The sequence below is a fragment of the Homo sapiens genome, chromosome 9, assembly GCF_000001405.40.
Source record: "Homo sapiens chromosome 9, GRCh38.p14 Primary Assembly".
NCBI classification, from domain to species: Eukaryota; Metazoa; Chordata; class Mammalia; order Primates; family Hominidae; genus Homo; species Homo sapiens.
In genome coordinates this window covers 3,342,542-3,358,155 of record NC_000009.12, presented here as the reverse complement: position 1 = coordinate 3,358,155, position 15,614 = coordinate 3,342,542, and the positions used below count along the sequence as shown (strand labels likewise).

Sequence of the window (15,614 nt, the reverse complement as noted above, 5' to 3'; positions counted from 1 at the left end):
TTTTTATTTTATACACAAGGAAATCATTGCTTAAAGAAATAACTGACGACCCTAATATCCAGTATCAGCACAAGAACCTCTTAATTTCAAATTAACCAATTTTTCCACCTCACAGTATTGACCACCATGAAGAAAACCAGTTGAGAATCTGAATTAGTACTAAGCTATGTGCTACCACCTGTGTATTCATAAATCCTGAGAGCAAAATGAAAGAAATAGTCTCTTGTGGGATAAAATAAGTTACAGAAGACCTTTTAGAGAAACTCATTTTTAAAATATATATTATAGTTGTTCATATTTCGGGGATACATGTGTTATTTTGATACACATATGCAATATGTACTGAACCAGTCAGTGTAGTTGGGATATCCATCACCTCAAACATGTATCTTTTCTTGGTATTGGGAACATTACGATTCTTCTAGCTATTTTGAAATATATAATAAATTATTGTTAACTACAATTTCCCTACTATACTACCAAATACTAGAACTTACTACTTTTATCTAACTGTATTTTTGTATCCATTAACCAACTTCTCTTCATCCTCCCTTCCTCATTTCCCTTCCCAGCCTCCGGTGAAATTTGGTTGTAATATAAGCTATTAAATAAAAATTCTCTTTAAATACTGCTTTCCTGCGTGCCACAAATTTTATGTTGTGTTTTTATTATCTTTAAATTCAAAATATGTTCTAATTTCTCTTGTAATTGTAACTGCAAAAATAAAAATATTATTTTGTTTAAAAATTTAGAAAAGTAGAGACTCTAAATTTTTAATTAGGCCTCAAAGGAAATAGTGGATTTCTATTGGTTGATGAGATAATTTATGTAGAGAAAACAATATAAGCGATGAGAAGGTAGCAAGAATGTACAAGATTTTAATGGATGATTATAAAGGAGCGGAGAGGCTATGTTTGAAAATATCCATCAAGGTTTACATATTATTAATGAAATGATTTTGTGTCCTGGTTATTTTGTTTTTATCTAAAATATGATTGGGATGCACTTAATAATTTAAGCGGAGGCATTATATTATGAAAAAAGTGAGTATTTTTGAAAGTGCCAAAGATCTGTCTCCTACTATTAAATATAATATTTGTATTTTTTTCTATAGATGCTTTGTCAGGTTAAGTAAATTTCTATCCTTAGCTTACTGAGTGTGTGTGTGTGTGTGTGTGTGTGCGTGTGTGTGCATGTGTGTATGTGTGTGTGTGTTTAATCATGAATGGACGTTGAGTTTTGTCAAATGCTTTTCTGGCATTTATTGAGGTGATCATATGTTTTTTTCTTTTATATTGTAAATATGGTGGATTGTATTTGTGGGTTTTTAAATATTAAACTGGCATTGCATTCTTGGGTTAAATCCTACCTGATTATGATTTATTGTCCTGTAAATATATTATTAGATTAGATCTACTTATATTTTGTTAAAGATTTTTGCATTTAGGTTTATGAGAGACATTAGTTTGTAGTATTCTTTTCTTGTAATGTCTTTTCTAGTTTGGGTCTCACTTTTAGGCTAGCCTCATAAAAACAGTTGGGAGAGGTTCTGTTGTTCTCTGTTTTTTAAAACATTTGTGTTAGATTGGCAATTTTTTTCTTCTTGACATGTTTCCTACAATTTACCAGTGAAACCATCAGGGCCTGGAGTTTCCTCTGCGGGAATAAATTCAAGTTTACATATATGATTTGGGATTGGGTGTTTTGGGGCCAGTTTTGGTCATTTAGGCCTTTTATAAACTTTTTCCATTTCATCTTAGTTGTTGAATTTATTGACACTACGTTGTCTTTATTATTACCTTTTTAAAGATGTATAGTGACGTTTCCCCTTTCATCCTTGCAATTTGTAATTTGTGTCTTCTTTTTCTCTTTGATAAGTCTACCTTGCTGTTTCTTGTTTCAATTATTTTTTTCTGTTTTCATATTTTTATTTCTTTTATTAACTTCTTTCCTTCTTTCCTTCCTTCCTTCCTTCCTTCCTTCCTTCCTTCCTTCCTTCCACTTATTCTAGATTTGATATATTCTTCAATTTTTAACACAAAGTGGAAACTTAGGTTATTGCCTTAGATTTTTTTCCCCCTAATATATATATTTAAAGTTATAAATTTCCCTCTATGCGAGGCTCTGGCTGCACTCTGAAAATTATGATATATTTTCAGTAACATTCAATTCAATACATTGTCTAATTTCCCTTGTGATTTCTTCATGATATAAACCATAGATTATATTAATAAGTATATTGTTCGTTTTACAAATATGTTGGACTTTTTAAGATATCTTTTTGTCCTCGATTTCGAATTTAATGTTTTTGGTCAGAGAGCATGCTCTGTATTGTTTTAATACTTTTAAATTTGTTGGGACTTGTTTTATTCCTCATTTATTCCTGAACTTTCATGATGCATGTTCATGTGCATCAGAGCATGCCTGTTCTGCTGTTGTTACATAGATTATGACGTGAAAGTCATTTTGGTTAAGTTGATTGATAATTTCTGTATTCTCAATGATTTTCTGTCTTTTTTGCGTATCAACTATGGAAAAAAGAATGCTGAAGTCTCCAATTGTAACTGGATTTTTAAATTTTCTTCTTTCCGTTATATCAGTTTTTGCTTCATGTCTTCTGAAACTCTGTCTTTAGGAGCAAAGACATGTAGGATTTATTATTTCTTGATATTTTTCTTAATGAAATATTTCTCTTTTTCTCTGGTAATATTCTTTGTCCTGAAGTCTACTTTGACTGATATTAATATAGCCAGTCCATTTTTTCTTATAATTGGCATTTGCAAGATTTATCTCTTTATATCCTTTTATTTTTAACCTGTTTCTGTATATTTAAAGTGTGTTTTGGTGGATAGCATATAGTTGGATCTCACCCATTTTTACCCACTCTGACAATTAGGATATGAATCTTGTAGATTCCAGGTAATTATTGATATGGTTGCATTTAATTCTAGTGTCTTGTTATTTGTTTTTTATTTGTCCCATCTGTTCTTTTATTTCCTTTATTTTTGCTTTCTATTAGATTTATTCAGTGTTTTCTAGTATGACACTCTATCTTCATTATTTTTTTCTTTAGTATTCAAAGATTTAAAAAATATGTATTTATCAGTCTGTGTTCAACCAATAATTTACCACTAAATATATATGAATATTATAAAAGAGTATTTTCAATTCCCTCTTCTGTCCTTTGTGCTATTTTTGTCATTCCTGCATTTCACTTCTACATATGTTGTAAGCCCCACTAGGCATTGTTATTATTTTTGCTCTACATAGTCAGAAAAGTAAAAGATAAGAAAACAAAAAATCCCTATAACTTTTTACAGAAAAGTAAAAGATAAGAAAACAAAAAATCCCTATAACTTACCTAAAAATTTATTATTTCTGATGTTTCTCATTTCTTTATGTAGATCTCAGTTTCCATCTAGTATTCTTTTTCTTTAGTCTGAAGAACTTCTTTTGTCATTATCTTCATTGGCTGTCTGCTGGAGAAGTATTTTTGTTTGTCAGAAAAAGGATCCTCTCTTCATTTTTGAAGGCTATTTCACTGGTTATGGAAATTTAGTTTGAAATATTTTTCTGTCACTACTTTAAAGCTGTTTTTTTTGTCTTAGACTTGCATTATTTTTCACTGAGAAGTTTTCAGTCATTCTAATATTTGCTGCCTGGTATCTATCTTTTTTTGTCTGCTTAATTTTTTTCTCTTTATTACTGGGTCTAGCATATTAATTATAATGCACTTTGGTTTAATGTTCTTTATTCATTTTTTAAAATGTTTTTTGGTAGAGATGGGGTCTTGCTGTGTTGCCCTGGCTAGGCTTAAATTTCTGGCCTCAGTGGATCCTGCAACTTTGGCTTCTTTGTCTGTACATTGATGATGTTCTTCTGTTCGTGTTTATCATTTCAATCAAATTTGGAAAAAGAAATCTACCACTCTTTATTCAGTATGTTTTCTGTTACTTCTCTGTCTGAGACTACTAAATACTGTCCCCTAGTTCATTGATACTTTATTTCTCATCATTTCTTTTTTGCCTCTGTTCTTCATGGTAGGTAGATTTTATTGCTAAGCTTTCATTTTAAGTGGTATACATTTTCATTGTATTGTCTGCTTTTAATCCTAACCAGTGAAATTTTAATTTTACATATTGTATTTTCCTACTCTACAAATAGTACTTGGTTCTTCTTTGTAGCTTCTTTCTTTTTTTCTCAGCACGGTCATGTTTTCGCTTAAATCATAAGTCTATTCATAATAGCTGTTTTAAAGTTTCTGCCTGCTAGTTCATTTCTATCATTTCAAGGTCTGTTTCTATTGATTGATTTTTCTCCTGATTACAGGTCACACTTCCCTGCTTCTTTATATGTCTAATTTTGTTATTTATTATATGCTAGGCATTATGATTCTTATGGTATTGTAAGTCTGGATTTTGCTGTCTTCCTTTAAACATATTACATTTTGTTTTGGGTAGTCAGTTACACTGCTTGTAATTCAGATATTGTCAAGGCTTGTTTTTTAGCTTCATTAGGATGAGCCTAAAGTTGTCTTTACTCTAGAGCTAGTACAGCCCTACTACTAAGGCTTTACTCCTTCTGGTATATCTACAGAATGCCCTAGGTGTTCACTACAGTCTTACCACTATGGGTAATCACATCTTAAACCATCTCTGCACCTTACACTTGTGCAGTTCAGAAAATGATGAGAGATTCTCTTGGGTCTGTTGCTGTCGTTTTCTCTAATGCCTTCTTTAATACTCTGCTCCCACATTTCAGCTGCCATTAAGCCTCCCCATTTCTTTATTTTATTTTATTTTAGTATTATTATACTTTAAGTTTTAGGGTACATGTGCACAATGTGCAGGTTAGTTACATATGTATACATGTGCCATGCTGGTGTGCTGCACCCATTAACTCGTCATTTAGCATTAGGTATATCTCCTAATGCTATCCCTCCCCCCTCCCCCTACCCCACAACAGTCCCCAGAGTGTGATGTTCCCCTTCCTGTGTCCATGTGTTCTCATTGTTCAATTCCCACCTATGAGTGAGAACATGCCGTGTTTGGTTTTTTGTCCTTGCGATAGTTTGCTGAGAATGATGATTTCCAGTTTCATCCATGTCCCTACAAAGGACGTGAACTCATCATTTTTTATGGCTGCATAGTATTCCATGGTGTATATGTGCCACATTTTCTTAATCCAGTCTATCATTGTTGGACATTTGGGTTGGTTCCAAGTCTTTGCTATTGTGAATAGTGCCGCAATAAACATACGTGTGCACGTGTCTTTATATTTCTAATCTTTGTTTCCTTATCTCAGTGAGACCATCATTCTGTCCTAGTTTCTCTGTTCCTGTTCTGCAATGTGGAAAATGGTTCTAGGTCAGAACCCAGGATCATGGCAGGATTCACCTTGTTTGTGTCCATTCTCTTAAGGATCACCATCTTATGATGCCTTTTGTCACATGACTGAAAACATCATTTTACATATTTTGTCAAGTTTTCTATTTGTTTCATGTGGCAGGGCATTTCCCGTAGTATTTACTCCAGCATGGCCTGAAGTGGAAGTCTTATAATCTTTCAATACGTTTTAATATGATGTGTAAGGTGCATAATGTGTAAGGTGCAGAGAAGTTTAAGATGTGATCAGCCATAGTGGTAAGACCTTAAGTATGATTTTATGTTTAATATGATTTTAATATGTATGTAATATATTAATTTATTTTCACTTAAAAAAATCTAAGAGCAATATAAATATGCAGAATAAAAGATGATAGTTTTTTCACCCCCTCACCTCTTTTCATGTCACTCAGCAGAGTTACCATTTTTAGAAGTTTGGTGTATATCCTTCTATTCTTGTTTATATGAATTTGTATACACATACGAACATATATGCTGATATGTATATATATATGCACACACACATACACACATTTTGTTTATGTTTATATATTCATAAATTTATTTTTGTATACACAAAGCTAATCATACTGTAAGAATAAGTATTGTTCCACAACATACTTTTTAAACTTAGTAATATGTATTGGCAATCTTGCCTAAAATACATATATATCTTACTTTATTCTTTTATATCAGCCATGTATTCTATGGAATGGTTGAACTAAGATTCACTTCATAATGTCAGATTTCATCATCATTAAAGTTTTCCTTTTTCTTATAAATTACGTATTTTTTGAAATTTTTTTGTACAGCAACTCTTCAGATATTGAGTTTTCTTGTTGAATAAATTCACAAAAATGTCAAATGATATGCCTGCTTATAAATTACCTTTAAATTGCCTAAAGAACCTATTTATATTACTACTAACTATATGTAAGCATGCTCGTTTTCTTAAAATATTGTCTTTAATTAATATAATCCCTTTGGTAATTTTTATAGTTCTAGAGAGTAAAAAGTAGTTTTCTTTTCATTTGAAGTTATCTGATTATGTTTAATGTTGAGCTTTTAACATTTACATTTATCGTTCATCTATAATTTTAATTTTGTGACCCACCCACCTATGTTCTAACATGTTTTAGTTCTTTTTTTATTGATTCATAGGGAGTATTTATATATGTGGGATACTATACCTTATTAAGTACGTTGCAAACTATTTATTCAATTATATGTCTAGATTTTGAACTTTGTTTATGTTGTTAGTTGTCCTAAACTGTCTTTGTTGTTGTTGTTGTTGTTGTTAGTTCAAATCTGACTTGCTCTTATGGCATCTGGCTCTTGAATGTTTCTAGGGAGGTTTCATCATTTCTAGTCTATAAATATTGGCATGATTTTATTTTATCCTATTCATTTTTATATTATTTAATTAAACTAGTATATGTTTGTATATTTACATATATATGTGCATACACACTTTAAAAAAAAGATTTTAGTTTCTTGAGAACACTTCATTTTTCTAAAGCACCTTTAGTATTACTGCAAAATTAAGAGGAAGGTACAGAGATTTCCATAAAACCCCTCGCTTCACACATGAATAGCCTCTTCCATTATAAACATTCCCCACCAGAGAGGTACATTTGTTATAACTGATGAACCTACATTGACACATCATTATCACCCAAAGTCTAAAATTTATATTAGAGTTCATTCTCGGTGTTGTGCATTCTATGGTTTTGAACAAATGTATAATGACATGTATCCACCATTACAGTATCATGCAGAGTAGTTTCACTGTTCTACAAATCCTATGGGCCCTGCCTGTTCATCTCTCCTTTCCCCCAGTGGCTGGCAGCCACTGATCTTTTTACTGTCTCGGTCATTTGACCTTTTCCAGAATGTCAGATAGTTGAAATCCTACAGTATGTAACCTTTTCAGATTACCTTCTTTCACTTGGTCATACGCATTCAAGTTCTCTCATGTCATTTCATGGCTTGGTAGTTCATTTCTTTTCACTGCAGAATAATATTCCATTATTGGAATTAATGAAAACAATATTTCATTGTTTTGATGTGTAGTGCAGTTTATTCTTCCGTCCACCTTCTGAAGGACATCTTGGTTGTTACCAAGTTCTAGCAATTATGAATAAAGTTGTTATAAACGTGTTTGCCTGTTTTTGTGTATACGTAAGTTTACAACTCCTTGGGTAAACACCAGGGAACATGATTACTGGATCATATGACTAGATTATGTTTAGTGTTGTTAGAAACTACCAACGTGCCTTCCCAAGTGTCTACCATTTTCCATCCCTCCCAACAATGAATGAGAGTTTCTATATTTCTCACATCCCTGCTAGCATTTAGTATTATCAGTGTTCTGGATTTTGGCCATTCTAATTCAGCATTTTAGATTTTGGTATCTTATGATGGGAGAATATTTGCATATCCTTATTTGTCATCTGTATTAAGGTCTTTGGCCCTTTTAAAATCAGCTTGTTTATTTTCTTATTGTTGAGTTTTAAGAGCTCTTTGTAAATTTTGGATAACAATCCTTAATCAGATCAGTATTGCAAATATTCTTCCCCAGTTTGTGGCTTGTCTTTTCATTTTCTTCACAGTGTCTTTCAAAGTAGAAATTTTCCATTTAATGAAATCCAGCTTGTGAATTATTTGTTCCATGAATTACACCTTTGGTGTTATGTCTAAAAAGGCATCACCAAACCCAAGGTTATCTAGATTTTCTACACATTTTTTTAATAGGATTATCAATCTTTCTCAAAGTTTTGGATGCTCATTTGTCTTCGGTTTTGCTTATTATATTTTTATCCTTGCAAACAGGTTTACAATTTTATTTAAAAGTATTTTTATCACTTCTGAATGTTGTAGTGAGGAAAATTTTTCATAATTCCAAGTCAAAAGGAATATATTCCTTTTTTATTTTATGTCATAATATTTCATACTTGAATGATCTTCAAATTTATTCTATATTGTTAAGTTTAAGAAGCAAGGTTCAGAACAGTGTGTATAAAATGCTTTGTTTTTTCTTAGAATGAGGTGTGTATGTATTCACACGTGGGCACTTCTATACACATTCATATACATTTGCACGTTTGTCTAAAAAGATATAGAGAAAAAGAAAGGCAATGAAAGGATAAACCTAAACATAGTGAAAATGGTTACCTGTTGGGGGTGTGGGGGCAGTAAGTAAGATAGAAGCAGCAGGGGTGAAAGGAGGGTCATCTGTCCAAATATATTGCCTGTTTTATAGTTTTGGCTTTGGAACCACATAGATATTTCATGTAATCATAAAACAAAATTAAATCAAAATTAAATACAGCAAATCCTAAAATTAAAAAGAAAATTAAATACATGAATTTAACTGCGTATCAAGCTGATGACTTATTTTAAGTGACTTTATAGTAATACAAATTACACATCTCTAGGGGCATATATCTTAAGGGCAGAAAATTGAAGGAAACAATATTTGATAATCAAATATTAGTAATATGATATTTTTATTTTGAAACCATAAAATTTCATGATAAAGCAAATAAGTAATCATGTTAAAATCTCCAGTAACCAAAATTTGTACCATAAGAGCAAAGATGGACAAATATATCCAAGATATATTTAATTTGTATATATTTAAAATTCAATGAAAAAATTACTATGAATTTATGATATGTATTTTTATCCTTCAAAAAATATGTGTATTTCTAGCTTGGTTCAATGAAAAGACCTAGAAATATGAATAGCATCCTAGCAGCAAGCATTAATGGGTCCCAATTGTAGTCTTTGAATTCCATTTTCCACTAAGAAGAGCCAGGGCTTTTTTGAAGAAATGTCTGATTCCAGATCTTGAGTAGGAAATATGACATAAGCCTGAAGCATCTTGTTATAACAGAAAGTAGCAGAGTTAAGAAAGATGGTGGGGTTATGTCATAGGAACTAGTTAGAAGAGGCTACCATTGGCCAACAATGGGACAATTTTAGCAAGAAAAAAAGATTGCTAGGATTGAAAATCATTAAATATGTTCAAAAGCTGAGAATCGTAAGGATACAAACAAAAACAAAATAAAAAACCACACCGATCACCTCTGGAGGGTACTGGGGGATAAAGTCATTTTCAGTACTGTAATATAAAAAGAATCATGTACTTATCCTATTTTTCCCATAAAAACTTTATTTCAAAGTAACTAAATAATTAATGAGAGGAATTTATTCTTTATAGAAGGATTTTGCTAATAAATGAAGAAAGAATAATAGAATTAGACTACCGCAAGTTTACAACCTTTATTATTTAACATAATATCTGTAGGAAATGATCATCAATGGCTACTAATATCCTCAGGCGAAACGTGGATAGGGAGCAGGATACTATTAATAGATAGACCCAGGTGGCAACATATGACTCCACTAGTGAAACTTAACATTGCAGAGGGACAGCCAGTTGTTATATGTCAACTGATATGGTACAATACTAAGTACACAACTTTTAAAAAATTGAACTTGTTCAAGCCCCAACATATACCAGTTTATACAGCATACATGAAATAGAGGAACTTATTAAATGACATTTCAGGATGCTGTTTATCAGTCTAGATGCCAGAAATTCTCCAAGATAAATGACCCAGTTTCTTGAATAAGTAATAGGCGGGAAATAAAAAGGATAAGGGAACTTGGAGATTCAAAGAGAAAGAAAATATCAACCCAAATGCATTATTATGTAGACCATGTTTGGATCTTACTTTGAAAAAACCAATACTATAGTGATTGGACTCATCAGGGAAATTTTAACAATGACTGAGTTTTAGATGATGTTAAGGAATAGTTAATGTTTCATAAATGATATTATTGTGTTCCAGCTAAAAACAATTCCTATCTCTTAGAAATACAAATGAAAATATTTACCAGTGAAATGATATAATCTCTGGAATTCCTTTGTTTTTTTGAGACAGAGTTTTGATCTTGTTGCCCAGGCTGGAGTGCAATGGCACAGTCTCGGCTCGCTGCAACCTCTGCCTCCTGGATTCAAGTGATTCTCCTGTCTCAGCCTCCCAAGCAGCTAGAATTACAGGCATGCACCACCATGCCTGGCTAATTTTATATTTTTAGTAGAGACGGGGTTTCATCATGTTGGTCAGGAGACTGGTCTTGAACTCCTGACCTCAGGTGATCCAGCTGCCTTCACTTCCCAAAGTGCTGGGATTACAGGGGTGAGCCACCGCACCCGGCCTTCTGGAATTACTTTTAAATAATCCTGTGAAGGGAATAAACAGAAAAGATAATTTATCTTGGATGACAAGTACATAGGGTTATTACAGGATTTTTTACATATTTGAGTGTTTGAAATTTTCTATTATGAATTGTTCTTAATTTAAAAAAATCAGCTTTTTAAAATTAAATTGGAATAGAATTTCATAAGTCACCAAAATAAGAACTTTCTTTTTTTTTTTTGAGACAGAATCTCACTCTGTCACCCAGGCTGGAGCGCAGTGGCACAATCTTGGCTCACTGCAACCTCTGCCTCCCAGGTTCAAGCAATTCTCCTGCCTCAGCCTCCCAAGTAACTGGGACTACAGGCGCATGCCGCCACACCCAGCTTACTTTTTGTATTTTAGTAAAGACGGGGTTTCACCGTGTTGCCCAGGCTGGTCTTGAACTCCTGAGCTCAGGCAATCTGCCCACTTTGGCCTCCTAGAGTGCTAGGATTACAGGAGTAAGCCACCGTGCCTGGCCAAGAACTTTCATAATTTTAAACCTGAACAGTTGAAATGTGTCTATACATTTATACCTGCAGGGAAGTTACAGAATTTATTCAGCATAAATGTTGCAGTTGCTCTGGAATCAACACATGCTTATCTTGAAACTATGACATGAATCTAATAGTTTTTCTTATCAGTCTTTCTCAAATTTATCAATAATACCGGATAAACCTTTGAGATAGATCTAATGCTCTGTATTCTTCCTATCATACCTACCTCTTACCAAGGTCCTAATACTTGTTTTTCAGGTACAGCAGGTACAGACTGTGCAGCAGGTACAACATGTCTATCCCGCTCAGGTGCAGTATGTGGAAGGAAGCGATACTGTCTATACCAATGGAGCAATGTAAGTTTATATGTGGAAGTCTTTTTAATTCCCCCACTCAGAGAAAAATAATGTACTTTTGAACACCTCCCACTATTCCCAGATTGTTTCCTTGTTTTCAAAGTAATTTTCTACTAGAACAGTTATTGAAATTAAGCTGATGTTTAGAGCTTTTGTCTATATTTATTAAGAATATGCACTCATTTTCCTTTCACTTAACCCCATAGGATATTTTAAATTATTTAAAGTCTTATGCCCTTTAATAGTTCTTCCTATGTAGAGAAAAAATGTATATACCCCTTGTTAGTGATATCTGTATTTTAATGATAGCTTCTAAACTCTATGCTTTTTGTTTTATTATACGAGGTCAATTTTTATGTGATGTATTTGCATGTAAATGAATATAAAACTAGTATATTAGGAGTTTGGGATTTTTGAACATTTTCAGAATGAGATATTCCACATAAAAATGTCTGATAATAAATGTTACTTTCCTATCTAAACCTGCCCCCTGCCCGAAACCAGCTTATCTCTTTTGCATCAACAATAATATAAATTTGTAAATTTATTTTATTTGGGCTTCTTGGCTACTTTGCAATAAGATGCAGAATGTTGTTATAAATAAAGGAACTAAGAATTATTGTAAGTCGCAAGGATTGTTTCCAAATTGGGTTTTTTGTTTGCAACCTGTTGGCTTCCTCGGTTAACTTAAAATGAATTCAGGTTCTCTCACTGACTCTTCTGCCCACCTCCCATCAGTGTTGGTATACTCCAGGATGATAACCTCTGCTGTCTTTATTCTTACTACATCTACTCTTTCCTTGAGTGATTTCATTTATTTCCGTGATGTCAACCTATAAGTTCCATGGAGGCAGGACTTTTTTTGTTTTTATTCACTACTGTAATAACTCAACACCAGAAGTGTGCATGACATGTGAGTTCAGTTGTTGTTATCTATTATTATTATAACTAAAAACAGAATTCTGGTTAATTTTGTATTCGTTTTATAATTGTGACCAATGTACTTAAATATTCTGAGCTTTTTGTTATTGTTACCATGGAAGGGGAAGGAGAATAATTTCACTCTTATTGGGTTTTTGCAAGGATACAAGGAAATATATTTAAAGTACCTAATACAGAGCCTGGTACAATAATAGATGATACAAAACTGGAAGCTTTTCATTGACTCTGGCTTCTTTCTTTTCTTACTATATTTGGTCACTGAATCTACCCACATCACTACTGCCTAACACTACCTCCATTACCTATAAAATAAAATCTAACTTTCCACACTGGCATTCTCCGCATTCCTACCTCCGCCTTATTTTCTACCTTCTAGGCATAACCAATTTTGTGCATTTTTCCCCAAATATTCCCCTTTCATACTTCTATGTTTTTGGACATGCCGTTTTCTCTGCTGAAATAGCATTCTCTGTCTTCTCTCCTTTCCTCCCAGTCTCCCTAAACCCAGTCTAGTGTGATCTTTATAGACAGACATGTCACTCCCTTCTTTGTGACATGGACCCTGACTCTCCTTCTCTGCAGTTAGCTTATCCTTCCCTTATAAAGGGCAACATTATCCCCTGACTTTTACTTACAGCATTGTACTGTGAATGCTTGTTTATGTTTCCCATAGTAGGAAGAACTCTCCCTGAATGCGAACTTGGCATTTTGTTTTATTTACATTTGCTTAGGTGATTGGCACATAATAAAGTCAGTAAATTTCTGTTACCGTATTAAATCTATACCTCTTTACATATTTTAGACACACTGTGAATGTTTTTCACTCTACTTATTTGTTGTATAGGTCCAGGGCCCCCTGGAGCATGATTTTGGAATCTTCACCATAAACTTAAACTACTGTTGGCATTTATACCAAATGAAAAAGACGCCTGCCACTTCGACCTTTATGCTCTCAGGGAAAATAAATGGCTTTGTAGACACTGCTAGAGGTCACCCAGTTGTCAGTTGTCATTTCATCTTTGTCTGTGACAAGTAGTAATGGGCACCTGCAGGGGAATGTGAGAATGGGAGTTTGTAGCTTTCGTGTCTGTTGTGGTAGAATGTGACAAGGGAAAAGGGCAGTTGAAATGGGTATTGAGAGAGTTAATTGTATAGTACCTATCACAGTTATTTCTCATTTTGTACTGGTCCCAGCTAAGGTGGAGAGATTAGTCTGTTATGTATGAAATGAAGTACCAGTTGAGCCGAAAATCTGAAATCCGAAATACTCCCAAATCTGAAACTTTTTGAGCACCAACATAATGCTCAAGGGAAGTACTCATCATGCATTTCAGATTTTAGATTTTCAGCTTAAGGATGCCCAACTGGTTAAGTATATAATGCAAATATTTCAAAATGTGAAAAAATAAAAAATTCGAAACACTGCTTGTTCCAAGCATTTTGGATATAGGATACTCAAACTGTAACCTCAGTTTATCAAAAGTGCTTTATGTATCATCTAAAGAGTAGGACACACTCAATGAACATTAGTTATTGCTGTAAAATTATGCACTCATTATTTGTTTACAGTTTTTGCTACTACTTAATGATTCTAAATTCTGCATATTGTCTTGTGCATTTTTAAACTGCTTTACTGCTGATATTAGGGTCTTCCACATAATAGGTAAACATGAGTTGAATGAATTCATTCATTCATAAAACCTTAGAAAAACAGCATTTGTAAGGTAGGTTCTTTAAAACTATAGGACCCATTTAAGTGCAGAAATGATTCAAAGCAAATATTTAGTGCTAACATGTATTTTCTATGGCCCACTAGCTCAGCTGGTTAGATCATGACTAATGAGGTCTAGGTCATGAGGTCATTTGTCACAAAGTCCAATTAGCTTTGATCTGGTCTGTGTGGACTCAAATTGTATCCTCAACTCTAGCCAATAATGTCACAAATGTGCACTTTTGGTCAAGAGGGAGAAGATGCATCTTCAAAAACCTTTCATTACTATCAAGGATAATTTTTGACTAAAGGTTCTGTAGCATCATTTTTATACTTAATAAGGAAATGTCATTGTGTTGCCATGAAGTATACTCAAAATTTTAGCAACTAGCGACCATAAGTATTTTTTCTCAAATAGGACTAGAAAATTTTTTTCAGCATAAGCTATTTTGGTCTTTCTGTAATTTTGTAGTGCTGACATTTGACTATTATAATTTTTGTCTCTAATGTTCATTTTAGGGTCTTTCTATGACTTCTTTTTATTTGGCACACTTCCATGTACGTTAGGAAAGAATATTCCATATTATTCTGTTCTACCACACTGAATTAACAGCAAGTTAGTGTTTGATCCCTGACTTGGATCACAGTCGGAGTCCCACTTCTGTGTGATAATAAATGCTTTTTGCTAATGATACTTCCAGAAGATAGGGACTCTGATCTTTATCATGAACTTTTGAGCACCCAGTACATGGCCCTACAACCTGTGCATGCTTAGTAAGCTCGCTAATGCTCTTGTCACCAGCGTCCCCATGTCATGTAGCCATAATGCATGGGGTCTCACTCAAGAAGTGATGACAGCTCTCACAGATATGTGTCGTCACTTATGAATATGTGTAATCATTATAATTTGATGATACTAAAATGTTTACCCGATTCTCCCTGTGAATATGGACAATTACTGCCAGCATAACAGGCTTAACAGTGTGGGTTAGTGAGTGAGTGTACATTTCAATTAAACAACTGAGACTGCTTTACAGCACTGTGTGTTGGAATAGAGTACCTTTTTGCTCAAGGGAGAAGGTAATTTAATTACTTTTGCCCCTGTTTATTTTATCCTTGCTTCTGTAGGAACCCATGCTACATCATTTGTGTATTTCCTTGCAGTAGTTTTTCCAAGATTTCCCAAAGGCTTGATCATCATCTTTATTTCTATAAATTCTTACTACTTATGATATTTAATCAATTAGAATACTATGATTAAACCTGCTTGGAAACATTGCATACCATGTAGAGAGAGTTCATTTCAATGGAAATTTCTTGGTGTAGCTAAGAAGTTTTTTTTTAAAATAAAATGATTTTTTTCTTCCCCCACTCTTTTTTGACTCATACTTCCCCCACTCGCTCCTACATCATGCTAGTCGAAGTGGAAACAGAGACATCATGCTGTATTATGGTCAAATTAAGAAATCTTT

The 15,614-nt window shown here is 33.3% G+C and overlaps 1 protein-coding gene across 31 annotated transcripts in view; it reads left to right on the top strand.

Annotated features, from left to right (window-relative positions):
* Positions 1-15,614, top strand: part of RFX3 (regulatory factor X3) — a 307,705-nt gene that overhangs the window by 167,846 nt on the left and 124,245 nt on the right. For all 31 annotated transcript variants that reach the window (XM_047423701.1, XM_047423699.1, NM_001282116.2 and 28 more), the window contains one exon: positions 11,392-11,489. In XM_047423701.1, coding sequence (XP_047279657.1) covers positions 11,392-11,489 — 98 coding nt within the window. The remainder of the gene's footprint in view (positions 1-11,391; positions 11,490-15,614) is intronic.